General features: G+C 43.8%; 1 protein-coding gene across 8 annotated transcripts in view; it reads right to left on the bottom strand.

The window, feature by feature from the left end:
- TEP1 (telomerase associated protein 1) overlaps nucleotides 1-12,306 on the bottom strand; it is a 47,835-nt gene that overhangs the window by 22,093 nt on the left and 13,436 nt on the right. For all 8 annotated transcript variants that reach the window (XR_007064043.1, NM_001319035.2, NM_007110.5 and 5 more), the window contains 9 exons: nucleotides 8,862-8,971; nucleotides 8,100-8,190; nucleotides 7,691-7,868; nucleotides 3,840-4,008; nucleotides 3,179-3,337; nucleotides 2,922-2,999; nucleotides 1,851-1,981; nucleotides 1,479-1,538; nucleotides 146-304 (listed from right to left, as the gene is read on the bottom strand). Coding sequence is in view for 7 of the 8 variants with exons in the window: in NM_001319035.2 (NP_001305964.1) it covers nucleotides 146-304; nucleotides 1,479-1,538; nucleotides 1,851-1,981; nucleotides 2,922-2,999; nucleotides 3,179-3,337; nucleotides 3,840-4,008; nucleotides 7,691-7,868; nucleotides 8,100-8,190; nucleotides 8,862-8,971 (1,135 nt within the window). In the remaining variant the exon portion in view is untranslated. The remainder of the gene's footprint in view (nucleotides 1-145; nucleotides 305-1,478; nucleotides 1,539-1,850; nucleotides 1,982-2,921; nucleotides 3,000-3,178; nucleotides 3,338-3,839; nucleotides 4,009-7,690; nucleotides 7,869-8,099; nucleotides 8,191-8,861; nucleotides 8,972-12,306) is intronic.

Raw genomic sequence — 12,306 nt, forward strand, 5'->3', positions numbered from 1 at the left:
GAGAAACCTCCGCCTGAGAAAGAGGAAGCATGCCTTCATGAAGAGAACAAGCGGCACCTCACCAGCTAGAATTTCAGCCCCAGGGTTTCCCAAGGTTTGACTGCAGCCCCTCCCAATTCACAAAGGCATAGAAACACAGACTGACCCTTGCTGGGAAACAGGAGCCAAGGGGCTTGGAGTGTCCTCTTCCAGTGGCCGGAGAGACTGGACCCCTGTCTTTCCTGGGGGTGGTGGAATCTTGAATATTTTGTCCATTTGGCCCACATGTTCCAGAAGATGGGAGGCCCCATGCTCTGCAATGAACCTGACATAAATAACAAGATAAATGAGAGTAGAATACCACAGGTCGAAATCAGTGAGGTCTTCCGAAAAGGGCAGGGGGAAAAAGATATGTCCAGGTTTGGTGACCAGTTAAGTCAAGCTCCTTAAGAAGAGGACCATAAGCAGTTTATGCAGACTTAAAATAAATGAGGATGCAGAACCACAGGAATGAAGGAAAAGAGAAGCCCAGCTCTAGCCCCTCCTGCTGTGCGTGGTAATCACAAACTTGCTGTTGGGCCGGGGCAACGGGGTAGGGAAAGGTGTAAAGATTAAAGCCATCCCAGTCTGGGCTTGAGCAGCTCTGTGCCAGCCATAAAGGCCCCCTGGAGAAGGAGGAATGTGCCTGAGGCTTTCTCATAGGAGTTGAGGGAAATGGATGGTATCCAGAGGAAAAGCCAGGGGAGAAAACAAGTAAATAAGAAGGCAAAGGATGGAGAGACAGATAAAAAAAACGTGAAAAGATTTCTGTAATTTTAGCTTAAATAGACATAATTTTCTCTGGATCAAGAATTGAACAGAAGCCACAGTGACATGGCCAACTCTTGACAGTGAAGTCTCCCATGTCCCCTTTCTTCTTTCCTACTGGATATAATACAAACTTGGCTGAATACCAAGATGGCTGGAGCTCAGGCAGACATATTGAATTATGAGGTAGAAGCTGAGTATTTGAGGATCATGGAGCAATAAGAGAGAAAGTGCCTGGGTCCCTGTGACACTGTGTTGCTGCTATGCCTGGATGGCTGTAAAAGAGGAGTGAACTACCTCACTTTAAAAAAGAAGTAACTGGAGCCGGGTGCGGTGGCTCACGCCTGTAATCCCAGCACTTTGGGAGGCTGAGGTGGGTGGATCACAAGGTCAGGAGTTCAAGACCAGCCTGACCAACATGGTGAAACCCCGTCTCTACTAAAAATACAAAAATTAGCCGGGCATGGTGGTGCATGTCTGTAGTCCCAGGTACTCGGGAGGCGGAGGCAGGAGGATCGCTTGAACCCAGGAGATGGAGGTTGCAGTGAGCCAAGATTGTGCCACTGCACTCCAGCCTGAGCGACAGAGTGAGATTCTGTCTTAAAAAAAAAAAAAAGTGACTGGAGTAGAGATAATCTCCTAAAAACTTTCCAACAAAGTATCCAACCCTTCAGTATCCATTCTGTACTCACTTCAGTATCGCATCAGTACAGCCTGAGAGTGTCACATCATTGGGATTCAAATCTGTTGACCTGGCAAAGGAAGAAGCAGTCATTAACCATCACAAACAATACCTGGAACACAGTCACTGCCCACTAACATCCCAAGATGAAAACCCCACTTCTGCACCTTTAATAGGGTTATGTGGTAGGCTAGGGCTAGGGTGGACTCTCACAGAGGGGTACAGAGTTAGGCTAAAGTATCCACCTGAAGTGCAACAGAGGTAAGAAGGCAGAGTTGGGGAGATCCCTGCCAAGTGGGAGTGTCCTATGCTTTGGCAGGCGTAGAGAGGAAATGTAGACCACTGATTTCTGACACTGGGCAGGAAGTATAAGCACCCTTACAGGTATTGTACCCTTCTTAGGAGGATACCAACAAAGAGGCACTTGGAATTCACACGCTGCCAGTAAAGCTGTTTGGCCACATTTATCATTCCATCATCCATGCTTTGGCCAAGGAGGATGACCCTGTCCACCTGTAAGATGAAAAGGGAGAAGATGCTAGAGAAGGGATGCTAGACAGCCCAGGACATTAAGATATGAGCTTTCTGAGGACAGGAGGATTAGGAGAACTCTGAGAGGAGTACCTCTCCTGAGAGCACATAGAATGAGGGAAGCCACTGCATTTTAACTTACAGGGGACATCAAAGTGGAGGTTGGAGTGGGGCAGTGGTATACTGCAGCTGGCTCATTCAGGCTCAAGAGAGCTGATTGTTAAGTTTTCAGGAAGTTTGTGGGCAGTTGTTAAAGGTGGACATTATTAAACATTAAATTGTATACATTTAAAAAATTAAATAAGTTATATTTAAAACAAATGTGGCTGGGCATGTTGACACACACCAGTACTCCCAGCTACTTGGGAGGCTGAGGCAGGAGAATCACTTGAGCCCAGGAGTTTTAGTTGCAGTGAGCTATAAGCGAGCCACTTCACTCCAGCCTGGGCAACGGAGTGAGACCCTGTCTCAAAAAATAAAAATCAGAAAATAAAACAAATGTAATAAATACTCAAAATGTATAACTTCCTAATAATTTTACTACATTTTACTATTATCTACACGTGCTTATTTACATCTACTATATCAGGAGTGTGAGAATACTACACAGCAGTGTGCTCCTGAGCGTCTTTTCCCAACTCTATGTTCAGTAGCATCATGTCGATAGCTTGAAATCAGCCACGGTAGGACTGTTTACACCATGGAAATTTAGCAGATGCTACTAACCAAGGCTTATTTTTCTAGGCAGCTGGTTGTTAGATATTCAGCAGCACACCACTGGGTAGGGGGTTGTAGCCAGTAGAGCTGATCTGACTATTGTATGTGGTTGGAGAAGTCAGCTCTAAAGGTCAAGAAATGAAATATATCAGTTGCAGAGGAAAATGTGGGGGAGGGAGAGGGTTTCTCAGGGATTAATACTCACAGGAACCCTTTGGCCAGCCAGAGACAGCAGGTATTTCCCAAAAGTATTCAGGGACCATCCATCATTTTCATCAAACTCCTGAAGGAAAGAGACTTCATGTTATGTGGTTGCACAGTAAGCGACAAACACTGCAGTCTTGCAGTCTGCTTGGGAAATCTTCAGAACTGTGTATTGTCTGTGCCTTTACCAAATATCTGGGCTATTCCCAGGCCTGTGTCCTTCATGTATTTTTGGATGGTGGGTGTTGAGTGTCTGACCTGGACTTGAGCCTGGAGCTTGATGGCAGTCTTCAGGATGCCTTCTTCTGCCTTAAGCACTGCAGTCTTCAGAGTGTCACCTCCACACAGCACGACGTCCACCTGCTCCGCCCTCGTGATCATCATCCCAATCAACAGCAGTGCATAGTTCAGCGGGGGCTGATTGGACAAGTGTCAGGGGAAATAAAGCTCCCCTGCTTTGGAATTCACCCTTGCCCAGCCAGCCCTGGAGGCCAAACCCTTCCATTGGTTAGAGGGAATAAGAAAAAGTGTAAAATCCCAAGTTAGGAGGGGTCAGCTTCAGCAGCCCTCAGGAGGAGCTGACTGTGGAGGGAGGAAAAGAGGAGCCAGGATCCCTGCCCAAGTTCAACACCGGGATGTAGTGAGGTGAAAGTGAGACATATTTTGGTGATGCAAATTTAGAGAGTACCAAGTACCAGCCAAAGGTGAAATGTTAGTATTATAATCCATAAACCTGGTTGAAACAACATCCTAGGAATTGCCCCTAGGAACCAAGGACTGATACTTGGAAGCAAATTCATATCATTTATTTCAGTCTGAGTGTTTGCCTGGGAAAACCAGCTCTGGGAACAGGATACTGCTCAGGATCCCCAGCATTCTACCAACCCAACCCCTTGGAGGATGCTTTTTGTTTTCTTACCCCTTGTGGGTTGCTCTTTGGACAGAGCCTGTCTGCATTAGCATCTGTCAGATAGACCAAGACAGTGCGGCCTGGCAGCAGGGGCAGGCTGTGCTTCACAGAGAGGTTCACAGCTGTCTCTAGGGCCTGTCGGTACCTGTTCAGCATCTCACCATCATATTTCCACTGTCTACATGCAAGAAAGACACAGACACAGGGGCTCAGGGACTTATCTGCCCCTTAGAGGCAGACGGGGAGATGAGAAGTTGCCACTAAGTATTGAGTCTTCTCCCTCCCTCAAGCACCATACCCGCTTCCACAGCCCACTCCATTTCTGGTGTAGAGGACTGGGAGAGAGCTTCCCTCTGCCCCCATCCTATAGGATTCTTCTAATCCACACTCATGGTAGGAGAGGGGAAGTCACCTGTAGACCCACTAGCTACACTTACCACATGAATCCATTCTTACTTCATGAAGCAAGATTCAATGGCTACATAGTTTTAAATTGTATTTTAAAAAACAAATGCTAACTCCTTACTCTGAAAACTGGCAATTAAAGGAGAATAAATTGAATATTCATCCCACCTTTCCCATACAATCTATTTCCGGGTAACTAAATAAATATAGTTGATAAGGGAGGCTGTTTTTAAAATTCCAGTTAAAAAATATGCAGGAATGATAAAACCCTCATTCTGCAACCGCCAATGAAACAATTGGTTCACGCAAAGATCACCAATGGATGAGCATTAACTACTGTGGAGAGATTAGGCTATTACTACCTAGAAGTGCTGATCAACATTAGCATTACTGAGTAGTGGTCCCACTTAAATAGTATATATATAGGATCACCTATGAACTACTTGGCAAATCTAAATCTGTTCGAGGCTTTAGAGCTAATGCCCAGTGAACAAAAACAGAAAAACAAGTTAGATGACATCATGAGGAAGGAGGCAAATCCAGAATATGGGATATTCTTTGGGGTCCCTGAACCTGGTTTTCACAGTAGCTCAATGCCATAAGAACAATTAAAAGGTTAAAAGTGACATAACAGACTTAACAACCAAATGTAATGTGTATACCTTGTTTAGATCTTGATTTGAATAAAACTGTGAAATGATATTTTTAAACAATTGGAAAATTTGAATATGGACTAAATAACAGATGATTTCACCGAGGAATTATTTTTAGTTTTGTCAGGTATATTAATGACATTCTCATTGTATAAAAAATGTCCCTTTTTAAAGAAACACACATGAAATAAGGAAAGGTGAAATAAAATGTGTCTTATTATTTGACATTTGTTTTAAAAATATCTTCAAAAGAAAAGAAAAAGAAAAAAAGATCAGTAAAGAAAATGTAAGCCGGGCACGGTGGCTCACGCCTATAATCCCAACACTTTAGGAGGCCGAGGCGGGCAGATCACAAGGAGATCGAGACCATCCTGACTCACATGGTGAAACCCCATCTCTACTAAAAAAAATACAAAAAAATTAGCCGGGCGTGGTGGTGGGTGCCTGCAGTCCCAGCTACTCGGGAGGCTGAAGCAGGAGAATGGTGTGAACCCAGGAGGTGGAGCTTGCAGTGAGCCGAGATTGTGCCACTGCACTCCAGCCTGGGCGACAGAGCAAGACTCGGTCTCAAAAAAAAAAAGAGAAGAAAAAAAAGAAAATGTAATAAAATCTAGATAATCACTGAATCTGATAGTTTTATGAAAGTCTATTAATATTTTTATTACTTGTGTGCATATTTAAAGTTTTTTATACTAATTTTTTAATCTAGCAAAATCAGTAGTCTTCCCAGCACTATCCAATAGAATTCAATTACAATTAAATCAAATTAAACTTAAATTATACACATATAATTTTCTAATAGTCACATTTTAAACAGTAAAAATAAATTGGTGAAATTAACTTTTCTTTTCTTTAAGAGACAAGACAGGCATGGTGGCTTACGCCTGTAATCCCAGTACTTTGGGAGGCCGAGGTAGTTGGATCACTTGAGGTTGGGAGTTTGAGAGCAGCCTGGCCAACAGGGTGAAACCCTGTCTCTACTAAAAATACAAAAATTAGCGGGGTGTGGTGGTATGCACCTGTAATCCCAGCTACTTGGGAGTCTGAGGCACGAGAATCACTTGAACAGGGGAGGCAGGGGTTGCAGTGAGCTGAGATCACACCAGCCTGGGTGACGAAGTGGGACTTTGTCTCAATTAAAAAAAAAAAAAGAGCCAGGGTGCTTAGCTAATGCCTATAATCTCAGCACTTTGGTTTGGGAGGCCAAGGTGGTTGGATCGCTTGAGCTCAGGGGTTTGAAACCAGCCTGGGTAACATGGTGAAACCCTAACTCTACAAAAAATACAAAAAATAGCTGGGTGCAGTGGTGTGTGCCTATAATCCCAGCTACTTGGGAGGCTGAGGCAGGAGAATCACTTGAGCCTGAGAGGTAGAGGTTGCAGTGAGCTGGGATTGTGCCATTGCACTCCAGCCTGGGTGATGGGAATAAAATCCTGTCTCAAAAAAAAAAGGGACAGGGTCTTCCTCTGTTGCCTAGTCTGTGCAGTGGCATGATCATAGCTCACTGCAGCCTCAAATTCCTGAGCTCAAGAGATCCCAGCACCTCAGCCTCCCAAGTAGGTGGGACTACAAGTGCAAGCACCTGCACCTGGCTAAAATTAATTTAATACTGCATTTTATTTAACCCAATATATGAAAACATTTTCATGTCAGCCTGTAATTAATACAAAAGTTATGAATATTTCACACTCTTTTTTCAGACTGCCTTCAAAACCTAGCATGTCTCAACTCAGACGTCACTAGCATATTTCAACTGCTAAATAGCCACATGTGGCTAGTGGCTACATTGGTCAGTACACAAATACCATTTGGACTGGCCCCTTGGGCTTTTTTTTTTTTTTTTTTTTTTGAGACAGAGTCTCACTCTTGTTGCCCAGGCTGGAGTGCAATGGCGCGATCTCAGCTCACAGCAACCTCCGCCTCCCGGGTTCAAGTGATTCTCCTGCCTTAGTCTCCCAAGTAGCTGGGATTACAGGCACCCACCACCACACCCGGCTAATTTTTGTATTTTTAGTAGACAGGGGGTTTCACCATGTTGGCCAGGCTAGTCTCAAACTCCTGACCTCATGATCCACCTGCCTCGTGATCCACCTGCCTCGGCCTCCCAAAGTTCTGGGATTACAGGCGTGAGCCACCACACCCAGCCAGGCTTGATTCTTAAATGGCCCTCTGTTCAGCTACTGATTCAGGAGATTCCTAGTTACTGAGCCCTCTAGAAAGTTAAGTGAGTCCTGTGTTTGTTTTGAGTAAAAATAAGTGTAAGATACTGATGAACCACTTAAAAAGACAGCTGAGACTTCATCAAGCCTACAAAACAGATGGTACATCTGTCTTTGAGCCTGCTGATGGTAACTATCTTTGTGTGTATTTCAAAATACACACACACACAACAAAAACAAAAAAGATGAATGGGTCAAAAAATACAGAAAGATAGAAACAAAAAGAAAAACAAACATGTCACAGAAAAGAAAAAGAAAACCATGAATCAGAGCAGAAGCAGAGAGGACACCAGCATACACCACCATACATCAGCATAACTAAAAGAAAGGAATCTACATAAACCAATAAAACAATCACAGATAATAGAGTGGAGGTCCAGGAGTAGACTTTGTTTCATGATCTCTCTTTAGGACAATGTTAAAGACAAGGTGTGCTGTGCAAGAAACCAGGCAGTTCTGAGCCACTGCGATGACTGACAAGCAAACCTTTACAGAAAAACAGTTGGGATTCCCAGATGACTTCCAACCTGTGCCAGGGTAGCCCCGATTGCCCACCCTTGGCTCCCAGACAGTGCATACATACCTGGCCTTGTGTACTCTCAGCTTCTCCCTCTTGAGCTGCTCATACAACACAGGTATCCTCATTGCCATCCGAAGCTGCTGACGGCTTAGGTGGCAAAGAAACCTCCGCCTGGGACGGTTCTTTTCATTTCTAGTTAGTATCCGCCTCATCAGTGTTATATTCGAAGGAAAGGGCAATGCTGTATGATGACAGGTAAATTTCCGAGTTAGGCAGCTTCTATTCCCTCATCTTTTCCTACCAGTAATGTGACCTGAGCCCCAACCCTTGGGGCTGGCAAGTGCCTGACCTCTGCCCCCCACCCCGATACACCCTGAGACTGCAAAGCAAGAGGCTAAAAATATTGGTGCTGCTGCTTCATTTATTGTCAGATGTGGGAGGCAAAGAGGAGTTGGAAGAAAGGGGAGAATACCTTGATTTCTGAGTTGAGCCTCGAGGGCATCAATGGCATCATGGGCGTTAAGAAATCTGAATGGAAACTGCCGACTGTGGATCACCGACTTCTAGAAAGCAAAGGAGGGAGGGGTCATGAGCACAGGAGCCGGGAGTATGGGGGGCTTCAGGGGTCCACTCTATTAGCTTTGTGGGAAGGTACAGAAGGACAAAATGAACTTAGACAAGAGATATAGAAAAGGGGTAATAAGAAGAAAGAAAAAAGTCATCATTTTAGGATGTGAGAAAAGGTAACAAAAGAAGAGAAAGTAACAGAAGGAGCCCCGTTTCTTTTAAGACTCCCTCTGGGCAGGGTGTGGTAGCTCACGCCTGTAATCCCAGCACTTTGGGAGCCTTAGGCAGGTGGACTGCCTGGGCTCAAGAGTTTGAGACCAGCCTTGCCAACATCGCAAAACCCCATCTCTATAAATAAAAAACAAAGACTCCTTCTGAAATCAGTTACATCACACAAGTGTCTCTTCCTGGTAAGTCACTGAGCTCAGAAAATTAAAATGAAAGTTCTTATACTCTACTGTAACTTCTCAAAGGATTTACTGAACCCCAAAACTTATCTCCCTCAACCTAGCTGTATTCCCAGATCTACTTACAGCCCACATGGAAACAGCTTGAGGGCCGTACCTGCCTCTGCCCCCTGAAAAAGCCTGGCCTCTAAAGCAGCAGTGGCCTCTCCACGTGCACATCTAGTTGCTGGGCCCCATGGCTACCAGCCCCTCACACATACCGCATGCTGGAGTCTCTGGAGAATGAGCTCATGGTGGCGGGAACTGATTCCAACCCGCAGCAGGTTGCACAGGTTCCGAAGCATGGCCATGAAGGGAAGCTTCCCATTTTCTGTGGAATGTGGGGCATAGAGTGAGAAAAACAAATGAGAAGGCCAGGCACAGTGGCATGCACCTATAATCTCAGCTACCAAGGAGGCTGAGACAGAAGGATCACTTGAGCCCAGAACCCAGGAATTAGAGTCCAGCCTGGGCAACATAGCAAGACTGTCTCAAAAAAAAAAAGCAAATGAGGGATGATTAGAGAGAGGTCAGAGACCAGAGCAAGAAGTTCAGAAACCAGGCATGTGGAAAGTCCAAGATAGAGGAAGTGAGGAATTCACATACAATCTACCCTACTCAAAATGTTTTAAAGGCTTGGAAAGATTAAAAACAGGGTTGGCCCAAAGTTTGGAACAAAATTTATGCAACACTGTTTATGGGATGGCTGTTATGTTACCACTTAATCTGTTGGCTCTAGCCCTAAGATTGGGTTCAACTGGCAAAATGTATTATCTAGTCTAGAGCAAAGGTTTCTAAACTTTTTAGATGGCCAAAAGAGAAATTTCGTAGTGTAAGTTGATTTATGAAGTATATACTAACATAATGTAGCACATTCATTAGTTAATATTTCAAGGCACAATATCCATTTAAAAGAAGGTTCACCATTTATGAAACCCCGTCTCTACAAAAATACAAAAATTAGCCAGGCGTGGTGTCTGGTGCCTCTAATCCCAGCCACTCGAAAGGCTGAGTCAGGAGAATCGCTTGAAACCAAAATGCGAAGGTTGCAGTGAACCGAGATCACGCCACTGCACTGCAGCCTGGGTGACAAAGCAAGACTCTGTCTCCAAAAAAAAAATTAAAAAAAAGTTCACCATTTATAATGACGAATGTATGTAAATCCATATTTGAAATAGTCTTCATAATTTGTAAGCTTCTCACCCAATTTCTTCTATTTGATTAGTCATTACTTTTTTTGCTTAAATATAGGTGAAAAAGATTTGCACTGGAGATAGAATTTCACCACTGACCTCTGTCACTTCCTTATTGTTCCCTTGTACCTGTGTTATTAATATTATCTTCAAGCCATAGTTTCTTTTCTTTTTTTTTTGAGACGGAGTCTCACTCTGTCACCCAGGCTAGAGTGTGGTGGTGCAATCTCAGCTCACTGCAACCTCTGATTCCTGGATTCAAGCAATTCTCCTGCCTCAGCCTCCGAGTAGCTGGGATTACAAGTGCTCACCACCATGCCTGGCTAATTTTTGTATTTTTAGTAGAGACGGGGTTTCACCATGTTGGCCAGGCTGGTCTCAAACTCCCGATCTACAGTGATCTGCCTGCCTCGGCCTCCCAAATTGCTGGGATTACAGGCGTGAGCCACCATGCCCAGCCCATAGTTTCTTAATAATAATATTTTTAAGGTTTATATCAATTTTAGGCCGGGTGCAGTGGCTCACGCCTGTAATCCCAGCACTTTGGAAGGCCGACTCAGGCGGATCATGAGGTCAGGAGATCAAGACCATCCTCGCTAACACGGTGAAACCCCATCTCTACTAAAAATACAAAAATTAGCCGGGCGTGGTGGTGGTCGCCTGTAATCTCAGCTAATCAGGAGGCTGAAGCAGGAGAATCACTTGAACCTGGGAGGCGGAGGTTGAAGTGAGCCGAGGTCGCGCCATTGCACTCCAGCCTGGGCATCAAAGTGAGACTCCGCCCAAAAAAAAAAAAAAAAGGTTTATATCAATTTTAGACAGTTAATTTGGTTAATACTGAATAATATAATTCCAAATCCATCTACAATTGAAAGATAAATTGCTATAAGTCAAATTATATAGAAACCAAAATTAAAAAAAAAAAAGAGTGAAGGGGTGACATTAATGCCCTCAGATTGTGGATGCTCAGAAAACCTCAACTATTACACGTAACACATAACACTGTATCATATGGATTCAGTGACTATGTGGGTTCAATCTGCATGGTAAGTACTGGGAAAATTCTTTTCTTTTAGATAAAAGTAAACATAAATAGGAGGTGTGATTTTCTTTTCCTGGACAGAGGTGCATTCAAACCACTTTAGAGGCCAGGCCGGTCAGTCCGTCACCATGCCTTGTGCACCAGCCCACACCATCAGCAGCTTCATCAGGTAAATGCTGCTCCCTTTGTAAAGGGGATGTAAGTCTTATTTGAATTATAGCTGGAAGCTTTCAGCCCTCTGGAAGTCTTGGGATTCTCCAGTCATCATTCTTTTTTTTTTTATTTTTGAGATGGAGTCTGTCTCTGTCACTCAGTGGCACAATCTTGGCTCGCTGCAACCTCCACTTTCCAGGCTCAAGCAATCCTCCTGCCTCAACCTCCCAAGCAGCTGGGACCACAGACATCAACCACCATGCCCAGCTAATTTTTCTATTTTTGGTTAGAGACGGGGTTTCACCATGTTGCTCAGGCTGGTCTCAAACTCCTGAGCTCAAGTGATTTGCCCGCCCCAGCCTCCCAAAGTGCTGGGATTACAGGCGTGAGCCATGGTGCCTGGCCTCCAGTCATAATTCTGATTCACAAACTGTATGGAACAATTAGGTTGTATATGTACTATAAATGAACTATTGCATCCATTGTCGACTCAAGTTTTTTCCACTGTTACTATGTATAAAAGGTTTTCTAGATCATTTTCGGTAAGAAATTAAGTCCAATATCATACTGGTGATATTAGAAAATAAACTGGACATTTATCCTTAAGATTGCAAAATTCACTAATTTCATTCCAAAAAAATGTTAATGAGTTATTAATGAGATCTGTGGTCTTCAAAAAGGGTTCTGTATATCCAATTACATTTTATCTTATATTTTATACTTATATCTTTTTTTATATTTCCTTTTATTTATTTATATTTATTTTTGGCTGGGCACAGTGGCTTACATCTGTAATCCCAGCAATTGGAGACCAGCCTTGGCAACAAAGTGAGGCCCTGTTTCTTAAAAAAAAAAAAAAAAAAAAAAAAAGTACATATACATATATTCTGGTGTATCCTAAAAATTGTTTTTGTAGTATATGATTAAAAAAAAGAAACACTAGCCACCACGGGATTAGACTATGGGCATTTGCCTCAACCAGGATAAATGACATTAAAAGAATAAATTTACATGTCCTTACATTTTCAGGGACAGTGGTTCTCAACCAGAGGGAGGAAGTGGAGATGGGTGCATATAGAATTATCTTCATATGGCTGGGCGTGGTGGCTCACACCTATAATCCCAGCACTTTGGGAGGCCGAGGCGAGTGGATTACTGGAGGTCAGGAGTTCAAGACCAGCCAATATGGTGAAACGCCGTCTCTACTAAAAATACAAAATTAGCTGGGCATGGTGGCATGCGCCTGTAATCCCAGCTACTCGGGAGACTGAGGCAGGA

The sequence above is a fragment of the Homo sapiens genome, chromosome 14 (genome assembly GCF_000001405.40).
Source record: "Homo sapiens chromosome 14, GRCh38.p14 Primary Assembly".
Taxonomy (NCBI): Eukaryota; Metazoa; Chordata; class Mammalia; order Primates; family Hominidae; genus Homo; species Homo sapiens.